Source organism: Homo sapiens, chromosome 3 (assembly GCF_000001405.40).
Source record: "Homo sapiens chromosome 3, GRCh38.p14 Primary Assembly".
In the NCBI taxonomy this organism is placed as follows: Eukaryota; Metazoa; Chordata; class Mammalia; order Primates; family Hominidae; genus Homo; species Homo sapiens.
Genome location: NC_000003.12, coordinates 101,221,665 through 101,247,753, shown reverse-complemented (window position 1 = coordinate 101,247,753; position 26,089 = coordinate 101,221,665). Strand labels below are relative to the sequence as shown.

Genomic DNA, 26,089 nt, shown 5'->3' with positions numbered 1-26,089 from the left:
CAACCATTTCCTCTACTAGGGAACTTTTACAAGTACCCATGTCTAGGTTCCCCTCCCAGACCAATTAAGTTAACATTTCTGAGTGTCAGGCCTGGGAATTTGTGTTTTTCAAAAGCTTCCATGTTATTCAAATACCTACTTTTTTTTTTTTATTTTGAGACGGAGTTTTGCTCTTGTTGCCCAGGCTGGAGTACAATGGCACAATCTTGGCTCACCACAGCCTCCGCCGCCCGGGTTCAAGTGATTCTCCTGCCTCAGCCTCCCAAGTAGTTGGGATTACAGGCATGTGCCACCACACCCAGCTAATTTTGTATTTTTAGCAGAGGCGGGGTTTCTCCATGTTGATCAGGCTGGCCTCGAACTCCCAACCTCAGGTTATCTGCCTGCATCAGCCTCCCAAAGTGCTGGGATTACAGGCGTGAGCCACCACTCCCGGCCTCAAATACCTTCTTAGGACTGAAAAGGATTGTTCTTTTCTCTTTTCCTTTTTCAGTTTTCATACACCCAGGAAATATTTTACGAGTTTTTTCCCTGTGGATTGTAGTTATCTATCTTTGTTATTCAGAATCCAGAATAGACTGAACTATATAAACTTCTGCCAAATACCATGGTCGTTTTACCTCTTAGCATTATTGTTAAACATTTTTTTTTTTTTTAAGAGACAATGTCTTGCTCTATAGCCCAGGCTGGAGTGCAGTGGGTTGATCTTAGCTCATGGTAGTCTTGAACTTTCAGGATCAAGTGATCCTTCTCCCTCAGTCTCCCAAGTAGCTAGAACTCCAGGTGTGTGCCACCATGCCTGGCTAATTTTTTGTTGTTGTTGAGATGCGGTCTTGCTATATTGCCCAGTCTGGACTGCTGGCCTCAAGTGATCCTCCTGGCTCAGCTTCCCAAAGTGCTGGGATTATAGACCTGAGCCACTGTGCCTGGCTGATCATTGTACATTTACATAGACAGTTCTTCATAAAATTAAATAATTAACATGTTCAAGGATTGTGTTTCTGTATTCTTCTCCATTTCTGAAGCTACATTTTAAGATAATATTAGTAGTACATTAGTAAAACATCACTAGAAAGAGGAAATTGTTAATGTTTCCTAAGTGTGATACCATTTCACAGGAGTGGCTATTCATTTGAGGTAACCAGACTACATTTTGATGTGGTGACATTTCTGACCAAACTAGAGGGCCTTCATTAACTAATTATCTTTTCAGAATGATGAATAAAATTGCCAGTTGTTCTTTCCTGCTGTGGGCAATGTACTTAGATCTTTGCCAACAAGTTACAGATAACAGTAACTTCTATATATTTAAAGTCATTTAAGCTAAAAACACAGAGGAAAATGAACCATCTAAAGCAAAAAAAATTTTCTCTCACAAATTCACTTTGTTTGAGGGCTTTTAAATATGTTACCTCATCTGTCCTTGGTTTTCAGGTGAGAGGTGATATACTTTTTCTCTAGATATTGGAATTTGACTATAAATCTGTTTGATTCTGGAGCCCATGTCTCCTCCTACTCCTAATATTATTAATACACCGCCTCCTTGTCCCTAGAAGATCTGGGAATATAGACAGATAGGTGGTATTTAAAATCACTTTTTATATGTTTCTTTTATCTATGATATGATTTAGCCTTTTTTTCCCCCCAGGATAATACCTTTCAAGCTGCATGGCCCTCAGCAGATGAATCCATCACCAGCAGTATTCCACCACTTGATTTCAGCTCTGGTCCTCCCTCAGCCACTGGCAGGGAACTCTGGTCAGAAAGTCCTTTGGGTGATTTAGTGTCTACACACAAATTAGCCTTTCCCTCGAAGATGGGCCTCAGCTCTTCCCCAGAGGTTTTAGAGGTTAGCAGCTTGACTCTTCATTCTGTCACCCCGGCAGTGCTTCAGACTGGCTTGCCTGTGGCTTCTGAGGAAAGGACTTCTGGATCTCACTTGGTAGAAGATGGTGAGAAACTTTAATTGCTTTTCGTACTTCTTATTGTATCCGATGACAGGGGTTTTAAAGAGAGGAAGAGACTATGGCTATGAAAAAAACATGGTAGCATTCATTAGGGGGAAAATGTCTTGGTAAAATTGTGTGTGAGAGGAAACAATCAAATTTAATTTGTTGGAATGGAGAATCCAAATAGGTAAATAATAAGAAATAAACTTGGGGAGCTGGGGTGGGGATCAATTAACAGACATTTTGAAGGTCATATTGAAGGGTATATAGTTTAGTTAAATTACTGCTACTACTATTAAAGAGCCACTTTACTTAAATATTGGAGTAATAAACAAATAGCACCAAAGAAGATTATTCAACTAGGTTATAATACAATTAGTTGTGGGGGCCAAGTCTAAAGATTTTTACTTGTAGTAGTATTGTGAAGGGAAGAAGCGAAATCATGGAGCCACAGCAGAGATAAAGAAGTGAAAATGAAATAGATAATCTAGATGTTGTGGAAGAAAGGAAAAATAAATGTGACTTAGGAATGGAGTTTACATGTGAAATGAGGAAGATGAAGAAATATATAAATAATGAGTTCAGGATTGTGAACATCGAGTGAATCTGAAGGATGATGGACAATAAACATAACAGGCAAAATGAGAATTCAAAGAGAAACACAATGTTCAGGGAATTTTCTTCCTAAATTACTGCTGGATTTAGTATTTGTTGTCAAAATTACTACCAGCAGTTCTTTATTTTCGTGGAATTAAAAAAAAAAACAAGTGTTTGAAGATTATTTCAATAGTCAAGGTATTGTTATCCTCGAGAAGGAGATAATATTCATGAGTGACTGTCCCATATTGCAAACACATGATCAGATCTTCTTGTTGTTTGCTAGATATAGAAAAGCAAAAGTCAACAATTGTCCCTCTTAACTTCACAGGGAAAAAACAGGCAACTAGTTTTATTAGGAGAACTAGGAATACATTTTGGCAACTCTGTAGATTAATTAATGGAAAACTTTATTTTTAGGATTAGCCAATGTTGAAGAGTCAGAAGATTTTCTTTCTATTGATTCATTGCCTTCAAGTTCATTCACTCAACCTGTGCCAAAAGAAACAATACCATCCATGGAAGACTCTGATGTGTCCTTAACATCTTCACCATATCTGACCTCTTCTATACCTTTTGGCTTGGACTCCTTGACCTCCAAAGTCAAAGACCAATTAAAAGTGAGCCCTTTCCTGCCAGATGCATCCATGGAAAAAGAGTTAATATTTGACGGTGGTTTAGGTTCAGGGTCTGGGCAAAAGGTAGATCTGATTACTTGGCCATGGAGTGAGACTTCATCAGAGAAGAGCGCTGAACCACTGTCCAAGCCGTGGCTTGAAGATGATGATTCACTTTTGCCAGCTGAGATTGAAGACAAGAAACTAGTTTTAGTTGACAAAATGGATTCCACAGACCAAATTAGTAAGCACTCAAAATATGAACATGATGACAGATCCACACACTTTCCAGAGGAAGAGCCTCTTAGTGGGCCTGCTGTGCCCATCTTCGCAGATACTGCAGCTGAATCTGCGTCTCTAACCCTCCCCAAGCACATATCAGAAGTACCTGGTGTTGATGATTACTCAGTTACCAAAGCACCTCTTATACTGACATCTGTAGCAATCTCTGCCTCTACTGATAAATCAGATCAGGCAGATGCCATCCTAAGGGAGGATATGGAACAAATTACTGAGTCATCCAACTATGAATGGTTTGACAGTGAGGTTTCAATGGTAAAGCCAGATATGCAAACTTTGTGGACTATATTGCCAGAATCAGAGAGAGTTTGGACAAGAACTTCTTCCCTAGAGAAATTGTCCAGAGACATATTGGCAAGTACACCACAGAGTGCTGACAGGCTCTGGTTATCTGTGACACAGTCTACCAAATTGCCTCCAACCACAATCTCCACCCTGCTAGAGGATGAAGTAATTATGGGTGTACAGGATATTTCGTTAGAACTGGACCGGATAGGCACAGATTACTATCAGCCTGAGCAAGTCCAAGAGCAAAATGGCAAGGTTGGTAGTTATGTGGAAATGTCAACAAGTGTTCACTCCACAGAGATGGTTAGTGTGGCTTGGCCCACAGAAGGAGGAGATGACTTGAGTTATACCCAGACTTCAGGAGCTTTGGTGGTTTTCTTCAGCCTCCGAGTGACTAACATGATGTTTTCAGAAGATCTGTTTAATAAAAACTCCTTGGAGTATAAAGCCCTGGAGCAAAGATTCTTAGAATTGGTAAGCATAAAAAGTGAAACATGGGCACTAGTGAATAATCATGTATGACCGACTCCTCCTCCCCTCTAGCACATAAGGTCTGAGCCAGGGAAAGTGTGATCTGCTGTGAACATTCACTTCCTATCATTCACAAATAGTATCATGGCCTAGGGTTGGTAAGAAAACAGTAAGACATACAAGAAATGGAAAACACAAAAGTGGCATGAGAGTGATGTGATAATTTACAAGGAAGATTGTTTTCCATGAATTATGGGACTACAGTAAGTTTGACATTTCTCTTCACATTTTACTGTGAAGCTAATGTTTTGTGGGTACCTATGTTGCCTCCACTGTTGTGATCCTTTAGTGAAACAGAGAATAAACTCTCTGAGTGTCTAAAACTATGTATGAATTCCATGGGGTTCCTAAATATCACTATGAAAATCTTATAGCATTTCTAGTTTATACTGTCAAATCATTCCTAATTTGTACTTTTGTTAATTAACAGTTTAAGTGTAGATAAAATACAATTAGGAAAAGTGAGGCAGGGTCTTACCTGTGTTTTTGTTTTGTTTTGTTTGGGTATGTATTGAACAAAATGTGACACGCTGTCAATAAACTTACCACTTTTGTATATTGTAGCTGGTTCCCTATCTCCAGTCAAATCTCACGGGGTTCCAGAACTTAGAAATCCTCAACTTCAGAAATGGCAGCATTGTGGTGAACAGTCGAATGAAGTTTGCCAATTCTGTCCCTCCTAACGTCAACAATGCGGTGTACATGATTCTGGAAGACTTTTGTACCACTGCCTACAATACCATGAACTTGGCTATTGATAAATACTCTCTTGATGTGGAATCAGGTATGATATTGCCTAGCATGGTGGTTTCTTAGTAGAATCCAGTGATTATTCTTGTGTGTTTTCTTCCTCATTGCATTAAGGTGAATCCAATACTTGCAGGAAAAAAGAGTACTATGTCAGACAAATCTTCCACATCTTGGTAACTAGTAAAATATTTCTCCCAAGAACATCAATATCATTCCCTTTTCAAAACATCGTCCAAACATGTTACTTTATTATTTCACCTCCATTCCTTTCTCTACCCACTACATCTGGCTTTGGTTTTTATTTACCTACTGGATCTATTCTTGCTATGCCTTCATGTTGTCACTGCAAGGTTTGGGCCATCTTCCCTTTAAGTTTTTGCATCCATGTGCATTGTCTTAAGCCTTATATAAATGTCAATAACTCTCCACATTTTTTATATGCAGACCAAACATCTCTCATAACCTCCAGAATCAATATCTATCTACTTACTTGACAGTCTCCACTTGAATGTATTCTGTGTATATCAAATTTAAGATAGCTATGAGTGAGCTCTTCTTTTCCATATCTCACCACTCTCCAGCTAAATCTACTCTTTCTCTCAGCTTCTCTCTCTCTCTCTCTCCATAAATGTAAGCTTTATCTACTCAGCTACTTAAGCTGGAAACCTGATAATTTTTTTTTTTTTCTTTTTGAGATGGTGTTTCACTCTTGTTGCCCAGGCTGGAGTGTAATGGTGTGACCTTGGCTCACTGCAACCTCTGCCTCCTGGGCTCAAGCAATTCTCCTGCCTCAGCCTCCCGAGTAGCTTGGATTATAGGCACCTGCCACCACACCTGGCTAATTTTTTGTATTTTTAGTAGAGATGGAGTTTCTCCATGTTGGCTAGGCTGGTCTTGAACTCCTGACCTCAGGTGATCCACCTACCTCGGCCTCCCAAAGTGCTGGGATTACAGGTGTGAGCCACCGCACCTGGCCAGAGAAGTCATCCTTGATACCTCAATTCCTAACACCTGGAGCTTTTAGTCACTCACCAAACTTACACTGATTCTGAATTCTAAGTATATCTCAAATCCATGCTCTTTTCTCTATCTCCATTGGTACGACTCCATCCAAATCACCATGATCTCTCCTTTGGACCAGTTTCCCCACATCCTCTCGTGCTCCTCCTCCTATCCATCCTCCATATAGCCCCCATGGTACTCTTGAATGGCTGTCTGGTTCAGTAGCCACAAGGCCTGGTCCCCATCTTCTTCCCCGATATCCAATGTAACTAACCTCTGCTCAACATGTTCTAGTCAAACCAGCTTGTTTTTTGTTACTCAGATACAAAACCTTCTTCTTGCCTTAAAGTCTTTGCACACACTGTCCACTTTTGCCTTCTTACTGACTCCTGCTCACCCATGTGCCTCAGTTCAAATGTCGCTTCCTCAGGACTTTTCATTGACTCACCTGTAGTCTAGACTGAGTCTTTCCTGTCAGTTTTTATATTACCAGTACAATGTTCTTTTCCCCTAGAGAGTTATGATCATTGTAATAATGTTAATTTATGTGCATAGTTGCTTAATGGCTATTTTTTCCAGATGAGCTTTTTACAAGGACTGAGAATGTGTTTGTTTTATTAAATACTTTTTAGCCAGAACTTAGGATAGTGTCTTGAACACAGAAGGTACTCAAAAATACTGTGAATGAGTGAAATGAATCATTGCTTTTATTTGGAAGCCTTGGATGCAGAGAACACTGTTGAAATGTAAAATTTTCTTCTTCCTTCCTTTCTACATACCAGAGACAGAGGTTGAGGAGTGAGAAGGAATGCCTGGCTTTGTATTTCTCCAGTGCCTTTGAATCTCAAACTGGTTTGAAAGTCAGCCCTATTCTTTAGGAAAGAAGTGAACTTTCTTCTGAAATCTTTAAGAATCATTACTCATTGAAAGTGAAGAAAATGGTTTCACTAATCCTTCATATCCAAATCTCTTACCACTTGAGTTCTCTAAGGCCATTTGCACATTCTTTGTCATGTGGTATAGTGGAAGAGGCAATTAATTATAATTTGTAAGGAATGATTTCTTCTTCTGCTTTACAATTTATTATTTGTGTGACCCTAGATGGGCTATTTTATCCCTGACCCTTAGTTCCTCATATATTAAATGGGGGTAATATTGCCTGGCCTCTGTATTTTATGAGACTATTCTAAGCATAAACAAGTAGTATATATAAAACATTTGACTAACTATACAAATGCAAACAGTTATGATTTATAAAACTTTTGCGAAGGTCAATCTACTTATTTTTAAACAGAATTACAGGCCTGGTGCTGTGACTCACACTTGTAATCCCAATACTTTAGGAGGCTGAGGGAGAAGGATTGCTTGAGGCCATGAGTTTGAGACCAGCCTAAGCAACATAGTGAGTCTCCATCTCTACAGAAAAACTGAAAAATTAGCTGGGCACTGTGGCATATGCCTGTAGTTCCAGCTACTTGGGAGGCTGAGGTGGGAAGATTGCTGGAGTCTAGGAGGTTGAGATTACAATGCGCTATGATCACACGACTACACTCTAGCCTGGGCAACATAGTGAGAACCTGTCTCTAAAAAAAAATAAAAAATAAAAAATAAAGAGAATTACAATAAATACATTTACTTCAGTTTTTTTTTTTATTATACTTCAAGTCCTGGGATACATGTGTAGAACGTGCAGATCTGTTACACAGGTATACGTGTGCCATGGTGGTTTGCTGCACCCATCAGCCAGTCATCTACATTAGGTATATCTCCTAAAGCTATCCCTCCTCTAGCACTCCACCCCTGACAGGCCCCCATGTGTGATGTTCCCCTCCCTGTGTCCATATGTTCTCATTGTTCAACTTCCACTTATGAGTGAGAACATGCAATGTTTGGTTTTCTATTACTGTGTTAGTTCGCTGAGAATAATGGTTTCCAGCTTAATCCATGTCCCTGCAAAGGACACGAACTCATCCTTTTTATGGCTGCATAGTATTCAATGGTGTATATGTGCCACATTTTCTTTGCCCAGTCTAATATTGATGGGCATTTGGATTGGTTCCAAGTCTTTGCTATTGTGAATAGTGCCGCAATAAACATACATGTGCATGTGTCTTTATAGTAGAATGATTTATAATCCTTTGGGTATATAGGCAGCAATGGGAGGTATTTCTAGTTCTAGATCCTTAAGGAATCACCACACTGTCTTCCACAATGGTTGAACTAATTTACACTCCCACCAACAGTGTAAAGGTGTTCCTATTTCTCCACATCCTCTCCAGCATCTGTTGTTTCCTGACTTTTTAATGATCGCCATTCCACTGGCTTGAGATGGTATCTCATTGTGATTTTCATTTGCATTTCTGTAATGACCACTGATGATGAGCTTTTTTCATATGTTTGTTAGCTGCATAAATGTTTTCTTTTGAGAAGTGTCTGTTCATATCCTTCACCCACTTTTTGATTGGGTTGTTTGTGTTTTTCTTGTAAATTTGTTTAGGTTCCTTGTAGATTCTGGATATTAGCCCTTTGTCAGATGGATAGATTGCAAAAATGTTTTCTCATTCTGTAGGTTGCCTGTTCACTCTGATGATAGTTTCTTTTGCTGTGCAGAAGCTCTTTAGTTTAATTATATCCCATTTATCGATTTTGGCTTTTGTTGCCATTGCTTTTGGTGTTTGGTGTTTGCTTGGTAAATTTTCCTCCATCCCTTTATTTTGAGCCTATGTGTGTCTTTGCACATGAGATGGGTCTTCTGAATACAGCACACTGATGGGTCTTGTCTCTTTATCCATTTTGCCAGTCTGTGTCTTTTAATTGGGGCATTTAGCCTGTTTACATTTAAGGTAAATATTGTTATGCATGAATTTGATCCTGTCAGTATGATGCTAGCTGGTTATTTTGCCCGTTAGTAGATGCAGTTTCTTTATAGTGTCAATGTTCTTTATAATTTGGTATGTTTTTGCAGTGGCTGGTACTGGTTTTTCCTTTCCATATTTAGTGCTTCCTTCAGGAGCTCTTGTAAGGCAGGCCTAATGGTGATAAAATCTCTCAGCATTTGCTTGTCTGTAAAGGATTTCATTTCTTCTTTGCATATGAAGCTTAGTTTGGCTGGATGTGAAATTCTGGGTTGAAAATTATTTTCTTTAACAATGTTGAATGTTGGTCCCCACTCTCTTCTGGCTTGTAGGGTTTCTGCAGAGAGATCCGCTGTTAGTCTGATGGGTTTCCCTTTGTGGGTAACCCGACCTTTCTCTCTGGCTGCCCTTAACATTTTTTCCTTCATTTCAATCTTGGTGAATCTGACAATTATGTGTCTTGGGATTACTCTTCTTGGGGAGTATCTTTGTGGGATTCTCTGTATTTCCTGAATTTAATGTTGGCCTGTCTTGCTAGGTTGGGGAAGTTCTCCTGGATAATATCCTGCAGACTGTTTTCCAACTTGGTTCCATTCTCCCCATCACTTTCAGGTACACCAATCAAATGTAGGTTTGGTCTTTCACATAGTCCCACATTTCTCAGAGGCTTTGTTTGTTCCTTTTCATTGTTTTTTCTCTAACCTTGTCTTCATGCTTTATTTCATTAAGTTGATCTTCAATCTCATATCCTTTCTTCTGCTTGATTGATTCAGCTATTGATACTTGTGTATGCTTCACAAAGTTCTCGTGCTGTGTTTTTCAGCTCCATCAGGTCATTTATGTTCTTCTCTGCACTGGTTATTCTAGTTAGCGATTCGTCTAACCTTTTTTCAAGGTTCTTAGCTTCCTTGCATTGGGTTAGAACATGTTTCTTTAGCTCGCAGGAGTTTGTTATTACCCACCTTCTGAAGCCTACTTCTGTCACTTCATCAAACTCATTCTCCATCCAGTTTTGTTCCCTTGCTGGCAAGGAGTTGTGATTCTTTGTGGAAGAAGAGGCATTCTCGTTTTTGGAATTTTCAGCCTTTTTGTGCTGGTTTTTCCTCATCTTCAGGGATTTATTTACCTTTGGTCTTTGATGTTGGTGACCTTTGCATGGAGTTTCTGTGTCTGGACGTCCTTTTTGTTGATGTTGATGCTATTCCTTTCTGTTTGTTAATTTCCCTTCTAACAGTCAGGCTTCTCTGCTGCAGGTCTGCTGGAGCTTGCTGGAGGTCCACTCCAGACTCTGTTTGCCTGGGTATCACCAATGGAGGCTGCGGAACAGCAAAGATTGCTGCCTGTTCCTTCCTCTGCAAGCTTTGTCCCAGAGGGGCACCCACCAGATGCCAGCCAGAGCTCTCCTGTATGAGGTGTCTGTCAATTCCTGCTGGGAGGTGTCCCCCAGTCAGGAGACATAGGGGTCAGGGACCCACTTGAGGAGGCAATCGTCCCTTAGCAGAGCTTGAGTGCTGTGCTGGGAGATCTGCTGCTCTCTTCAGAGCCAGCAGGCAGGAATGTTTAAGTCTGCTGAAACTGCGCCTACAGCTGCCCCTTCCCCCAGGTACTCTGTCCCAGGGAGAGGGGAGTTTTATCTCTAAGCCCCTGACTGGGGCTGCTGCCATTCTTTCAGAGATGCCCTGCCCATACAGGAGGAATCTATAGAGGCAATCTGGCTACAGAGGCTTTGCTAAGCTGTGGTGGGCTCCACCCAGTTCAAATTTCCGGGCGGCTTTATTTACACTGTGAGGGGAAAACTACCTACTCAAGCCTCAGTAATGGTGGACGCCCCTCTCTGCACCAAGCTCGAGCGCCCCAGGTTGACTTCAGGCTGCTGTGCTGGCAGCAAGAATTTCAAACCAGTGGATCTTAGCTTGCTGTGCTCCGTGGGGGTGGGATTCGCTGAGCTAGACCACTTGGCTCCCTGGCTTCAGCCTCCTTTCCAGGGCAGTAAACGGTTCTATCTTGCTGGCATTCCAGGTGCCACCAGGGTATGAAAAACAAAAACAAAAACAAACCAACTCCTGCAGCTAGCTTGGTGTCTGTGCAAATGGCCGCCCAGTTTTTTGCTTGAAACTGAGGGCCCTAGTGGTATAGGCACCCAAGGGAATTTCCTGGTCTGCAGGTTACGAAGACAGTGGGAAAAGCATAATATCTGGGCTGAATGCACTGTTCCTCATGGCACAGTCCCTCATGGCTTCCCTTGGCTAGGGAAGGGAGTACCCCAACCCCTTGCACTTCCGGGTGAGGTGACGCACCACCCTACTTTGGCTCACCCTCTGTGGGCTGCACCCACTGTCCAATCAGTCCCAATGAGATGAGCCAGGTACCTCAGTTGGAAATGCAGAAATCACCCACCTTCTGCATTGATCTCGCTGGGAGCTGCAGACTGGAGCTGTTCCTATTTGGCCATCTTGGCAGCCACCACCTTACTTCAGTTTTGTATGTAACTCACATGTCAGCTGCATGCAATATCATCAAGGTTTATAAGCTCACCTTTACTTTTAATATTCAAATTAGCTGGCATTAGCCCCACCCCTGTGCAGTATAAAACCTGCATCTATGTTCCCTCAACTCCTCAGTATTTCTGGGCATTGTTAAGGAACTTAAATATCTCTTAATCCTCCCCAGTTCTGAGTTTTCTTTGCTGGATTTTCAGTCTCACGGGAGTCTTGACTCTTGTGGTGTTAACCTAATGCAAATCACAATCCTGTTTTTGATCTGCTCAAAGCACCTCCAACATAAGGCAGTTGATTCTATCAGGCATTTGCTAATGGAATGAAGGTAATGGAGAAGGCTTTATCTCAGCACGGCAGATGGCTTAAAAATATTAGTTAGGCATAACCATCCTTAAATTCCTCTGCCACCCTCTCAAGGGCATCTCTTACTGGCCAACTTTTTTCCCAGGACCCAGCCAGCTATGATGTTGCTCAGGCCATAAAGCTGTCTTTCCAGACCATCTACACATCTTTCCTCTACTCTCATTTTTCTAGACCCATCTATCCTTGTTTTAAGCTGCTCCTAGAAAACCAGATTGTAATTAACTCCACCATTTAGATCCCTGTCTCCCATCCTAAATTTACCTCCAACTCTACCTTTGTTTCCCCAATAGAATCATTAAGGCACTTTTCCAAACATACAGTTAGCTACCTGGGCACCCTTTCTTAACTAGCACAAAGGAGTGGAAAGAGACTTTGAAACCACAGCCTTTTATTTACATTATTAAAATATTAGGCTTTGTCTTTCTCCTTGGCCTGGAAGCAAAAAGGCTATATTTTATCTTTTTCCTATGGCTATATCTTTTTCCTAATGTATAGAAAAGATAGACTCTATTTTTCTCACCTCAGACACATATACCTGCAGAATGGTTACAAAGTTTCAAAATTTTTAAATAGAATCATTTTACTACATGTATAGTGGTTAAGCATTCCTAATATGAAAATCTGAAATCTGAAATGCTCCAGTCTGAAACTTTTTGAGCACTGACATGATGCTACAAGGGTAAATTTCTTCACTTGGCCTCATGGGATGGGTTGCAGTCAAAACACAGATGCACAACAGTTTATTCAGAGGGCCCAGGGGAAAAAAGACTCTCACACTTTCCTTCGGAGTGATACAGTTTTTCCATGCACAGCATGATGGTGATGCCGAACAACCACAGATTGTCCACATGGGTGGCTGAAATAGTGACCTCTTTGCTTTCTGGTGGTTCAATATACACAAACTTTGTCTTACGCACAAAATTATTTAAAATGTTGTATAAAATTACCTTCAGTCTATGTGTATAAGGTATATATGAAACATAAATGAGTTTTTTGTGTAGACGTGTGTTCCATCCCCAAGATATCTCATTATGTAAAGGCAAATATTCCAAAATCTGAAAAATTTGAAATCCAAACTTCTCCTCCCAAGAATTTTAGATAAGGGATATTCAATCTTATATTTTTAGTTAAAGGCCTTCAGATTAAAGTACTTTATTTCAAGATTGGCTAGAGACAAGATTGACTTGACTCTTGCCCAACTTACTTTAACATGCAGTGTCTCAGAAGCTCTTGAACTTCCATTAACAAAGGAGAGCTATGCAGTACCATCTTCCTCACCCCTATAGACACTCCTATCCCTCACTGCTGGGTAAGGATCAGATTATTTTCTGATTACAAAGTCACAAAACGAATACCCGGATAAAGATGTGAAGACTTAGGAAATATACAGTGAAATCTGGCCATGCAGTTCCCTTGTAGAAATTTCCCACCTGTCAACACATTTGTATGTTTTTCCTGTTATGTGAGCATCTTGGCAGTGGTCCCCTGTATTAGTTTCCTAGGGCTGCTGTAACAAAGTACCACAAACTAGGTGCCTTAAAACAACAGGAATTTATTCTCCCACAGTTCTTGAGGCTAGAAGTCCAAAATCAAAATGTTGGCCAGGCCCTGTTCCCTCTGAAAGATCTAGGGAAGACTCTTTCCTTACCTTTTCCTGGTTTCTGATGTTTACCAGCAATCCCTTGGCATCCCTTAGCTTATAGGTGTATCACTCTAATATCTGCCTTTGTCTCCAGATAGCCTTGTTTCCTGTGTGTTTCTGTCTGTGTCCAAATTTCCCTCTTCTTATAAGGACACCAATCATTGCATTAGGGCTCATTCTAATCTCGTATGGCCTCTTCTTAACTTGATTACATATACAAATGCTCTGTTTCCAAGTAAGGTCATATTCTGCGGTTCTGGATGGACATGAACTTCTGGGGACACTATTCAACTCAGTACATTTCCCCTGTTACCACATGCAGCCAAAGGAGATCAACTTCAGTGATCTCCAAACTCCAAGGGCACAGACTTGTGCAAAATTGTCTTCAATTTCCAGAGCAGCAAGGAAATCATTGCTTTTCAAAACATTATGTATGTAGATCCTTCCATTATTCTGGAAACCAAGAGGCTATGCTATTTCTTTTTATTCCCTATAGCCTTCTAGCTAAACTTTATACTTTTTAATACAGATGAGTCTATGGATCATTTCCACCTGTTTTCTCTATTTTCAATGTCTGTGTCACCATTTGCCCACTTACCATTCACAGATTACCATTGACCAGTGAAGAACATGTGGGAACTGTGGCAGGATGGAAGGCCCATTCATGGTCAATGTCATATCTTTTTTGACTGATTACTATCCTAATTCATTTTTAAAAATAGTCATTTTCCCTCACCCTATCAATGAAAAATTAAGTTATGAAGGCAAAAATATTTTGTTGGAAATGGCCTCAGGAAGTGCAGGGCTGACTTATTTTCCTAACATTGATTTTCACAAATCTTGACTGTTCCTAGGCTGCTCTTACTGGGCTATACCCATCCCTGAGGCTCCTACCAGTTCTCTTCTGAGCTCTCTCTCCCCATTCATGTTCTCAGTGTTGTGCAAGGCATGTAGCAGTGTATGTAGAGTGGAGGTCAACTGCAGCAGGTTGGGGTTGGTGGAAATGAATGGTCCATGAAAACTGCATTTAATTTAGATCTACAATTACTATTGTGTTTAACTTAGATCTGCAATTACATGGCATGGATTTCTAAAGCTTCTACATGCTCCCTAGATAAAATATGTTAAGGCTTAGATAGGTCATAGGGTTTTATGATTTGGCTCTGAGTTGCACAAAAATTTGACAAAAGCTTATTGATCTATGATGAGTGAGAGTTTTTGTGTGTGGTATTGGTGGCGATGGTGTACTTTAATGGTTCTGGAAAGGAGTTGTCCCATATACTTTGGGGGAGAACTTTAATGAAGGGCTTTGTATACCCCAGTTTCTGTGTTTTGCCTTTTCTTGCATTATTCTTTGTTTAATGTTTTAGGTGATGAAGCCAACCCTTGCAAGTTTCAGGCCTGTAATGAATTTTCAGAGTGTCTGGTCAACCCCTGGAGTGGAGAAGCAAAGTGCAGATGCTTCCCTGGATACCTGAGTGTGGAAGAACGGCCCTGTCAGAGTCTCTGTGACCTACAGCCTGACTTCTGCTTGAATGATGGAAAGTGTGACATTATGCCTGGGCACGGGGCCATTTGTAGGTATGTTGTAGTTACAGATTTTGACTTTAGAGGCTATAGATATTTCCTCTAAAGAAAAGGGGCCTGCACCTATAATTTTAGGATACTTATTATAGTATGCATTATAGAAGTTATATCTAGGCAATAGATGGGAGCCATCTAACTGTCATGTGAGGATGAGTTGTTTAACAGGCCTGAATTTCAATTCAGTAATTTATGCTGTTAGGGAACTGCAAAAAAAAAATTGTCTAAATATGTCCTACTGGCTGGGTGCAGTGGCTCACGCCTGTAATCCCAGCACTTTGGGAGGCCAAGGTGGGTGGATCACCTGAGGTCGGGAGATTGAGACCATCCTGGCCAACATGGCGAAACCCCATCTCTACTAAAAATACAAAAATTAGCTGGGTGTGGTGGCAGGCACCTGTAATCCCAGCTACTTGTGAGGCTAAGGCAGGAGAATTGCTTGAACCCGGGAGGCAGAGGTTGCAGTGAGCTGAGATCGTGCCACTGCACTCCAGCCTGGGCAACAAGATTGAAACTCTGTCTCAAAAAAAAATAAAAAATAAATAAAAAAAAAATAAAAATCCTACTGAGACTACTTGGAGCAGATGGAGATCTTTGTATTGTAGTTTTTAATGGTGATGGTAAGGAAACTGGTGTTCAAATGAGGTTTAGGCATAAGATCACGTTCCTCTATATCTGAAAGTGAAAATGAGTTTTATTGTTATACTTGAATTATATTTTTAAAGGTTTTGGGCCCCTCTTATTCATACTTAGTATTCATTCAAAAATAAAGACAAACATTTAAAAACTTTAAAGTATTTAAAGTTTTCAAAGTGGTGACAAAAATATTTTTCTTTAAGTACATCTGAGATCCATTTTCTAAAGGTAGAACCAATGAGAAGATGAGCAGATTCAGTTAGCCCGACTGTCATCTGCCCACTCCCCTTAAACAAAGTCAAACAAATCAACTTTCCAACCATACACAACCAAAGCTGCGTGGTTGAAGAGGAGAGGATGCTGAGAATAAGGAGGAGAAACAGAAAGTAGAGGACAGTCTGCAAGGTCAAAATGGGCAAATGTTGGCATAGATGCCAGAAACAGGAAATAAGTAGAAATAATCCAGACTCTTCTATATGAAGAAGGATAAAGTTTATAAGGAGAAAAACAGTCCCTTCATGTCCAGAGAAATTAATATTACCTAGAAAAGCAGTGATTTCCTTTCCCTGTGGCCTTAGGGTTTGAAGGATATCTTTAGCATACTGAAAGGACATGGGGCGTCTGGAGGCCTGGGTTCTAGGCCCAGTTCTGCAGCAGACTAATTGTATGGCCTAATGCCAGTCACTTTCCTTCCTAGGCTTGTTTTTTGGTTATCTATAAATAAGGATGTTAAGTAGAATAATTTCCTTAAACCTATTTAGCTTTTTATTCAGTTTTCTTTCAAACAGTCATTGAGGACCTACTAGGTCTGTGCTGGGCTTTATTCACTGCCTTAAATTGTATGATCTTTTAATCTGTCTATTCAACTCTTTATGAAGCTTCACGTGGTCAGCATTTATTTCTCTACTTTCCTCTAGTCCCTCAGAAGGTTCTGCTGTTAATTGTCAGTGTGAGCAGAGTGATTCAGATATCGGACTTGGTGACTGTTGGTTGCAGGTGCCGGGTGGGTGAGAACTGGTGGTACCGAGGCAAGCACTGTGAGGAATTTGTGTCTGAGCCCGTGATCATAGGCATCACTATTGCCTCCGTGGTTGGACTTCTTGTCATCTTTTCTGCTATCATCTACTTCTTCATCAGGACTCTCCAAGCACACCATGACAGGAGTGAAAGAGAGAGTCCCTTCAGGTAAATAAGGAAAAGAGCTCTCTAATGGAATACAATGTTCCATTTACACATTTATTTAGTACTTACCAGGTGCCAAATATTGGACAAGGAGCTGGCTGGGTGGAAGAGAGCTATGAATTTGAATAAACACATGGTCCTTGTCCTCAAAGGGGTGTCAAATTGAAGAAAAACAGAAGTAGCACTAAGAATAAGATGCTAAGGAGCCTTGATGAGGTACAAATAAGTTTTGCCTGGGGAAAGAGTCTTAAAAGTTTTAATGATGGCTGTGGTAATTTGCTGGAGAGAAAGAGTAGACATTTGCTATGTTTGGGCTGGGATGCTTTCTAGCTGGTTGAATGAGCATGAGCAAAGTCAGGGAGGCATGCGTGAACTTCAAGGCTCATCGAAGGAAAGGCATGGTTGAGTGTGACCAGAATGCCTATTTCATGGCCAGAAAGAATTTGGAGAAGCAATGTTGGAGATGAGATAGAAGAGGTGAATTTCCCTTCAGGGAGGACCAGATCTGTTACAACTTGCTCCTCTTTGGCTCAAGCTAGTGGTAATAAGCCAGAATTTAAATCTAGGTAAGGGTCTGTCAATAAATGAAATCTCATTCTCTGTTTAGTTAGGTGTTGCTTCATTGATGGGGAAATAAAACCTGGTCCATTTGCTAGACTCAGGATGCAAGGATCATAATCACATATTGTACTTTGCTTCTGTGCGTCTGAAGTCTGTAAGAGCTACAACTTGAGGTCTAGTTTACTTCTCTCACCATCAACTTGGCTAAGTCCTGGAGCACCTGGGACATACCTCCGTCATTGTTATTATATTCTTATTGTGTCTGACTTTTCATTAGACTGTAACCTCATCCAGGGCAGAGATAAAAGATTATTTGTGTCAGCAGTGTGTAGAACAGTCCTATGCACATGATCAATGCTCGGTAAATATGTGTAGACCTGAGTTGAATTTAATTGAGGCTCTGCTTCCCCTAGACCGTAATATTTATATTTCAGTCAGATTTGCTGCGTGGCTACACACTGATTTTCAATGTGTATAACTCTGGGAATGATGAAGCTACAGTTTATGAAGCACCATCTACTGGCAGACATAGTTTCCAACATTTATGAATGCCAGGCGCCATGGCAAATAAGATGAATGAGACATGGAACAAGTCCACAGGGCACTTGCCATGGGTGTGAGGAAATCATAATGATAACACCTGACAAATAATTTTTGAGGTTGATCTAGATGTTTTTCACAGTTATGTCCCACCATTTGTGTAAAGTGCACCTGTTTTTCTTCAACAGAAATATTGTCCCAGGTAAATAGTCTTCCACATAGTTGAGCATCCAAACAAGAGCCTGAATCCATCATATCTTTCTTTTAGTGGCTCCAGCAGGCAGCCTGACAGCCTCTCATCTATTGAGAATGCTGTGAAGTACAACCCCGTGTATGAAAGTCACAGGGCTGGATGTGAGAAGTATGAGGGACCCTATCCTCAGCATCCCTTCTACAGCTCTGCTAGCGGAGACGTGATTGGTGGGCTGAGCAGAGAAGAAATCAGACAGATGTATGAGAGCAGTGAGCTTTCCAGAGAGGTGGGAAACTTTGCATTTATGTTGCTGTCGCAGCTACTGCTGGTGTGTGTGTGGGGGAGCAGGGGGTGGTGGGTGGGGGTGTGTATGAGTGTATGTGTGCATGCACATGGACTTTAAGAAAGTGTAAAAAATATTTAGTAATTGGTTTTTACCTCGTATCTCCTAGTCTATGATATGCACAGAGTATTAAATTCTAAGCGGTACCTTATTTCCCCCACAATGGCGCTTTTTTTTTTTTTTTGCGTTATTAACTGGTACTCTCTCCTTCCTCCCTTTCTTCCTTAGAAATATGTCTGATTTAGAGCAGGACATGTAATATCCAGAGTAGTGTATGTAGATCCTTCCATTTCTCTGAAAGTGCACACTCCTGCACTTCTTTCTTATAGCATACTTCTGAATAGCCCAGAATGTAACAATTCCTTATGAAAATTAGAACCCCTTTTAAAAGGCTGTTGAGGTTTTTCTAATGCAATGTGTGGCCTATTGTTTCTTTTTTGTTTAAGGAAATTCAAGAGAGAATGAGAGTTTTGGAACTGTATGCCAATGATCCTGAGTTTGCAGCTTTTGTGAGAGAGCAACAAGTGTAAGCTTTTGAAACAGCCCCCCACCCCGACCTACAGACTTAACAGTTTACTCTAGAGTAATGTCACACCTGAGTGAGCACATAATTTCCTGTCCATGTGACAGGAGTCTCCGTGATAACCAACATTTGTTGAGTTCTTCAAAGTTTATGCATGTCCAGGCAGATTATCTCATTTCTTCCTTATAAGGGCTTTGTAAATTGAGTGTTTCTTATTTGAGGAAAGGAAATCTTGGAGACATGAAGGGACTTACTTAAGATGACAGTGATAGCCAGTGGCAGAGAAGATTTAAAACTAAGATACTGTCTGTTTTGGACTAGAGACGCCTGGACTACACATAGTCTTTTCATATTTTCTCTCTTGTTGTCATAGATCTCACTAGTGATCTGATTGATCTGATGCCATAAAATATTTTTCATAGATAGTTCCTTTGAAGAACATTTGAGTAGCCATAAGTCCTCACATATTTCAACATATTCTTTCAATTCTATCTCTGTAGATACTTTTCAGTATGCTTTGAATTACAAATCTCATTAAACTGTATCTCTTGCCTCTATCAAGTTTATCTTAATTTTCCCATTTGCTTTTCTCAGGATGCATTTTGGGCAAATGTCTGTACTTTTTTTCTTTGTTCCCACAATCCATAACTAGACATAGGTTACAAAATAAACTATCTTGAAAAGAGGCCATAATGGGCGTTAGCTGAGTGTATTGGGTAGGATTACAGTTTGGTATTGATATTTGGTCCTACTGTTGCCTTCGTGGAAGTGTTTGTTCGTGGAGGGCCAGATAAGTATCTTCTGGCTTGGCTTTTAGAAGAGAAAAATCAGAGCAATTCATGCATGCTTATAAGAGAAATTAATGAAGGGTCACAATAACACCCATGGCCCTGAGTGGAACACCTGCCCCTTTACTCAAAATTCTTTTTCTCTGATAGGTGGCTCCTTTGCTCGTGGTTCCTCTGTAAGAGAAGGGACAAACTGATAACTGAGGAAACTGAGAAAGGTGCTTTTCTAATTCCATGTGCATGGTAGAGATAACTCTAAAAATCTCTGAACATCTGACTTGGCTCCTAGGAGGTGCTGCCAGTCTTGCTGAATGCAGCCAGAGCAATATCACCAGGCGTCTGCCTTTTAAACCAGAGAATCCATTCATCTCTGCATCTTCAGCCAGCAGATGACCCACGGCTCCATTTCAGTAGTATCCAATAGAAATAACAGGAATGTTTCAACCCTTTAGAAGCCTCTCAAAGCTACCTGCCTGAATGTGTTCACTGAATTAAAAATGCATCTTTTCTAGGCTAAGACATGCAAAGGAAGGATTCAGGAGAGCCTTATAGGAATAGGCAGATTGACTACATGTTTCTGTTTCTTCTGGTGCACTGTCTAACATTAAAATACACACACAGAGTCTATGAAACAAAGAAGATTTGAACTAGAAGACCCTGTGAGACAAAAGAAAGTATACACAGGCTCTGTAACCTTAGGAGGTTCACAGAAGGAATAAGACATTGGAAAGATGTCAGGCATGTAATCCAAACAGCATTTTCAGTTTTCACTTAGTTTCAGAGTTTTCATCTATCAGGTAGCCGAAAAAATGTTAATGGAGTTGATTCAGGATTAAAGCATCACATGATCTTTGTAGAGTGGATTAAAAAAATTTTTAGCACAGAACAGAACAACTTTCCTTCAAATAAAGAAAAAAATAGAAAGTATTCATGATTTTAGGAGTATAGCTTAGTGATGTATGACAGTAATTGCATTTTATTACATTCTTGCTTTTTTTTTACTGAATTGCTCTTTGTGTTTTCATGGCAGGGAAGAGGTTTAACCAAAACTCCTGTTCTGAAACTGATTAGAAGCCTGGAGAAGATGGAGATTACTTGTTACTTATGTCATATAATTAACCTGGATTTTAAACACTGTTGGAAGAAGAGTTTTCTATGAAAAAATTAAATATAGGGCACACTGTTTTTTTTTCAGCTTAAGTTTTCAGAATGTAGTAAGAGATGTTACCATTTTTATTTCTATAAAGACTGAATGCTGTGTTTAAATAAATTGAAAACTACGTAAACTCTGGAAAGTATTCTATAAGAAAAAGCTGGACCTAGGATTTAGGGCTGCAGTTGCTGTCTGCTTCTGAATCACTGGGGGTGTCTCCTAAGAACTGTGCCTCGGGTTTTTCAATAGGAAAATAAGGTGAGACTCTTCCATGGAGAAGTCTGGCTTAGTAAGGGAATATTTTGGAGCATATTTGTTATTGTTGGGTAGAAGGGGAAACCTTTGAAATAGTCTTAATGGATAGTTTATAATCAGGCATTCATCTAAATAAAATTCTTTCTTTTTTTTGATCAAACTGCTAAAGAAAAAGCAAACTTTTTTGCTGCAGGATAGAATTCGGGTTGTATTTTTATGCTTCTATCAGTGTCTTGCATTTCCTGAGCATATTAATCAAGACCATGTTATTGTTATGTTAACTATGTTAATATCCTTTTTTTCTTAGTTTTCAGGATGAATGCATATATATATATATATATATATATATATATATATATATATATATATATATATATAAAGTTTAGAAGATTCCCATTAATCTAAAGACAAATTTAATCACATGGGCAGGGAGGGAGTGAGTGTCGGGTCAAGACCCCAGTGCTGAGAATATATTTTGTTTCTTGATTGCTGGACTGAGGTTCCCTGATTGCTTCTGAAATCTAAAGATGTCTTGGGCAAATCCTGTCTCTCCTCTAGTTCCTGGTGTATTAATTTGGAAAACAGCACTTAACTACCTCACATAATATAGATGAGCTCATTTTCATTGCTTCTCCTTTGTGTAATACCTCCTGTCTAAATTAACTCCTGCTTATACAAAACAGGGCAAAGCTTTTATTACAATTAAAATATTTTAAAAACTGAACAGATAGGAAGTCCATACCTTATATAAATTTTGACAGAAAATGGAAATTTTCCTCTTTCCCCCTAGTGTTTTTTTTGAATGGGTTGCTTTGGAGGGGGAGAGGAGGAGGCCAAATCATCATCATCATGATATTAAATTGCATATGCAATAGGTTATTATTAATGCAGATACTTTATGCTAGATGTCTTCATGCTTGCCAAAACCAATTCTGAACATTTTGATTTATTTCTGACCAGATATAAATAACCAGTATAAACTGACCATAAGATAAAATACTTGGTTCACTTTTTTTTTTCTCAACTTGATGACTGCCAATTCTGCTCATTATGAGGACACCGGAAACTAAATATCTGGGCTCAGTGCATGCCACAGTAAAGCTAGTGAAAGCCTTGAAGATGGCCAGGTATTTTGCAAAGTATGTATGGATAACAGGTTGTGTGTGTGTATGTGTGAATGTGTGTGTGCGTGTATGTGTGTGTGCGTGTGCGCGCTAATGCGCATGTGCGCCCGCGCCAAGGTGGCTCCCTTATCCTAGCATTTCCTTTCATTCCCTACTCACATAATGGATCCTCTAACAGTTCAGTATAGGTACACTTTCCACTATTTTATTGACATGTTCTAGTCTTAATATTGGATAATTAGACACTTTCCACTGGGCCCATTTGAAAAGTAATTGATAATTACCTTTAAGACATTTTAAGTGTTAATGATATTTGTCACTACTAAGTGCTTAGTTTTATTTATAAAACTTTCAAAGTTTTCTGTTTAAGACTGTAAACTGTTTTCCTATACTACGTGTTAGATGAAAGTGTATTTTATCACAAATTAACCTTAGAATGCAACTCTTTGAATGTGTGCTTGCTGGAAGAATTCCAGATGGACACAAATCCCTCTAGGGCAGGTCACCATGCAGAACACTTAGGAGAAGCACGAACTGAGCCAGAGGAGGGTTGTTGTTTTCCACAAACTAAGCAGTGAAGTGGGAATTTGGGAATTCTGACACACGTCACCATCTCTGATTTCCTTTTGCGTGACCTTTTCATGCAAGAGCAAAACACTTAGCTCTTCATGAATGTCTGCTCCACACCAATGAAATGGAAGAGTAAAGGAGCCCCTCAACTATCAGGGAAAGAACAGGAGGCCTCAGTTGAGGAATACAACTTTTGTCCTGCCTTTGCTATAGCTGAACCACTGTTGAAAGGTTGAAGAACACAGTTTGCCCAGCAAAGATCCATCCACTCATGTACAAAGCAAAGCACTAAAGGAGCTATTAGTTTGATGGAAAAAACTACCCCTAAAGAGCTTCTTTCTAAAAGACCTTCCTCGAAGGTGATTTAATGGCATGTCATCATTTAAAAGTCTTAGGCTGAACTGTCATTTACACTGCACAATTGAGGAATGAAATTTTCTGAGTATTAGAACGTTCTTCTTAACCTAGCAATATAATATTCAACAAGACTATCACCTTATGTGAAAATACTAAAATGCAGTTAGCAATAAAATGCATGGTAAATAACCATTTTAAAAATGTTATTATAAAAGGTTGTAAGATACTGTGGTGTTTTACAGATGTAGCCTTTATAATTGAATTATATACACTATCCTTTTTTATGGGTTATGGATAAAGGGGAATTTATTTGATAAATAGGGCTCCATTTTCACCATTGCAATGGTTTAAGGGTGTTTGTTCACGTTTATGTGGCCTGAAGTCCCATTTTTATCACTATTATTATTTGAGATGGAGTCTCGCTCTGTCACCCAGGCTGGAGTGCAATGGGGCGATCTCAGCTCCTGGCAACCTCTGCCTCCTGGGTTCAAGCGATTCTCGTGCTTCAGCTTCCTGAGTAGCTGGGGTTACAGACACCCACCACCATGCCCAGCTAATTTTTATATTTTTAGTAGAGATGGGGTTTCACCGTCACCATGTTGGCCAGCCTGGTCTCAAACTCCTGACCTCAGGTGATCCACCTGCCTTGGCCTCCCAAAGTGCTGGGATTACAGGCATGAGCCACCGCACCTGGCCCCATTTAATTTATATAATAAAACAAGTGCAGGCTTTACCTGATTTTATTCTCACCTTCTGTTTTCTTCTTCTGCATTATCTGTCACCATGGGTTGGCTCCTCCCCACTTTCTCTTTTTTATTCTTTTCTCTCTTTTTTGCCACACTAAATTGTAATGTGTTTGAACAACTCTGACTTAATATTACCTCTAACAAAAAGCTGGAAACTGCACAAATATTCTTTGTAGGCTCTAAAAGTAGGTTGGCTGAAGTATGATACCTGAACTAATTATTCATTTGTATGCTTGTTTTATAAGTTTGACTTCCATTTCATGATTTTTTTGGTAGCTTTATGTTATTTCTGTTTTCAGCAATGGGTACTTTGACATCTTTCTGTCTCTGAATTGAATTTTCATTTTGCAACGGAAGAGAAGACAACATATTTATTCCATAATGAAAGAGCTAATGAAGTAGAATAACTATTAAATTGAGATGTTTTAGCAAAAAAACAAAAACACAAACCCCAAACGGGTTGTTTTGTTTTATTTTTTTCTAAAACATTTCTAACAATTCCCAGTAGGAATGGGTGGGGCCAGCCTTCCTCATTTACAATCCAGCTGCAGTGAGTCAAGATCCTAGCTTATTCTCCCAATTGTGTAATAAATGCAGAAAAATGATGTGACGGTCACTATTCTCAAATCCATTGCATTGTATTCCACAAAGGATATCCTGGCGGAAGGTGGAAATATGGGAGGGTACCATGATGTAAAGAATTGCCTGGAAATTTCCTTGAGTCATGCATTTTGTAAAACCTTACATTACTGCTATGAGTTAATAAGAGACAGGTTAAACCACTCCCCTCAGGATAGTAAGACTGGTTAAAAACACTGCTCTCAGCCCACACAGTTATAGCTACAGCCTAGGTTAAATGATTCCTCATCCTGGTGTTTTTATTCTCATGTTTAATTACTTCTTTAAAGATTAAGATTATATATAGAAAAAATAATTGTGGTATCAGAGAATACAGGTATAATTTTTCATATATCAGGACTATGTGATGATACTTAAGCAATAGTGTACATACAGTAATATATGTTTAATATCGAGTATGGATAATGAAGGACTTTTCTTTTTCACCTTGTTTATAATGACATTTTATCCAGGGTTTGAATCAAATAAATTCATGTTAACTGTACTATTTTATTGAAATGTTCTAGTCTTATTATTGGATAATTAGAAATAAACATTTTAAAGTCTTTATGAATAAATAAGGATGTTTTCCTATGTATACAACTGTACTATTTTCATTAGTAATAAACATCACTTTCAAGAACCTGTCTACATTTGTTTTTGTCAATTAGAGGAAAATTGTAGATCTTAGCAACAGTTGAATTGTAATGACCATTTAAAGACACATGCTATGTAAGCATTGTGTGAAAATGAAAATCTTTCTTTGATTTATCTTTGCGAAGTGAAGATTAGGAGAACTGGAGATGAATTTGGAGCCTCAGTCTTGCCTCAAATTTTGTTGTATTTAATGATGATGGGTCATTATTTGGCCGTTCTTAAACTTTACTCTTTTAAACTGTTAGAAACTCTCTTTTTTTTCCCCCTCATCTGCTTAAGGTAGGAATGGAAGGAAAACTGATGAAGCTGATTAAAGAAAGATTTGATGGTATAGCTAGCACCAGCTGTCTGTAAGGAGAGGCGAAATGGGTGACCTGTCTAAAGAGAAAAGAGAAGAAATAAACATGGTAGCAACGATCTAAAGCAATCTTGCATGGGAGGGGCAGGAGGAAAATCAGCTACCAGTTATCCAAGCAGGTGATTCCTCAGTGCGTTGGCCATCAGAAACCTCAGTTTTCAGTTTTATTCCTTCCTACCTTTGCATGATGTCTTGCTGGCAACAGGACATGAAGAAATCGTAAATCAGTCTTAGAAAATAGGAGGGTGGTCTTACAATGAGAACATTTGGACACAGGATGGGGAACATCACACACCCGGACCTGTCGTGGGGTGGGGGGAGGGGGGAGGGATAGCATTAGGAGATATATCTGATGCAAATGACGAGTTAATGGGTGCACCACACCAACATGGCAGATGTATACATATGTAACAAACCTTCACGTTGTGCACATGTACCCTAGAACTTAAAGTATTATATAAAAAAAGAAAAAAAATAGGAGGGTGGTCTTGATTTGACTCCAAAGACCA

General features: G+C 39.6%; 1 protein-coding gene across 1 annotated transcript in view; it reads left to right on the top strand.

Annotated features, from left to right (window-relative positions):
• IMPG2 (interphotoreceptor matrix proteoglycan 2) overlaps positions 1 to 25,208 on the top strand; it is a 98,030-nt gene extending 72,822 nt beyond the window's left edge. The window contains exons 12-19 of the mRNA NM_016247.4: positions 1,649 to 1,952; positions 2,967 to 4,225; positions 4,847 to 5,066; positions 14,763 to 14,973; positions 16,609 to 16,797; positions 18,164 to 18,374; positions 18,878 to 18,957; positions 20,773 to 25,208. Coding sequence (NP_057331.2) covers positions 1,649 to 1,952; positions 2,967 to 4,225; positions 4,847 to 5,066; positions 14,763 to 14,973; positions 16,609 to 16,797; positions 18,164 to 18,374; positions 18,878 to 18,957; positions 20,773 to 20,785 — 2,487 coding nt within the window. The 3' untranslated portion in view covers positions 20,786 to 25,208. The remainder of the gene's footprint in view (positions 1 to 1,648; positions 1,953 to 2,966; positions 4,226 to 4,846; positions 5,067 to 14,762; positions 14,974 to 16,608; positions 16,798 to 18,163; positions 18,375 to 18,877; positions 18,958 to 20,772) is intronic.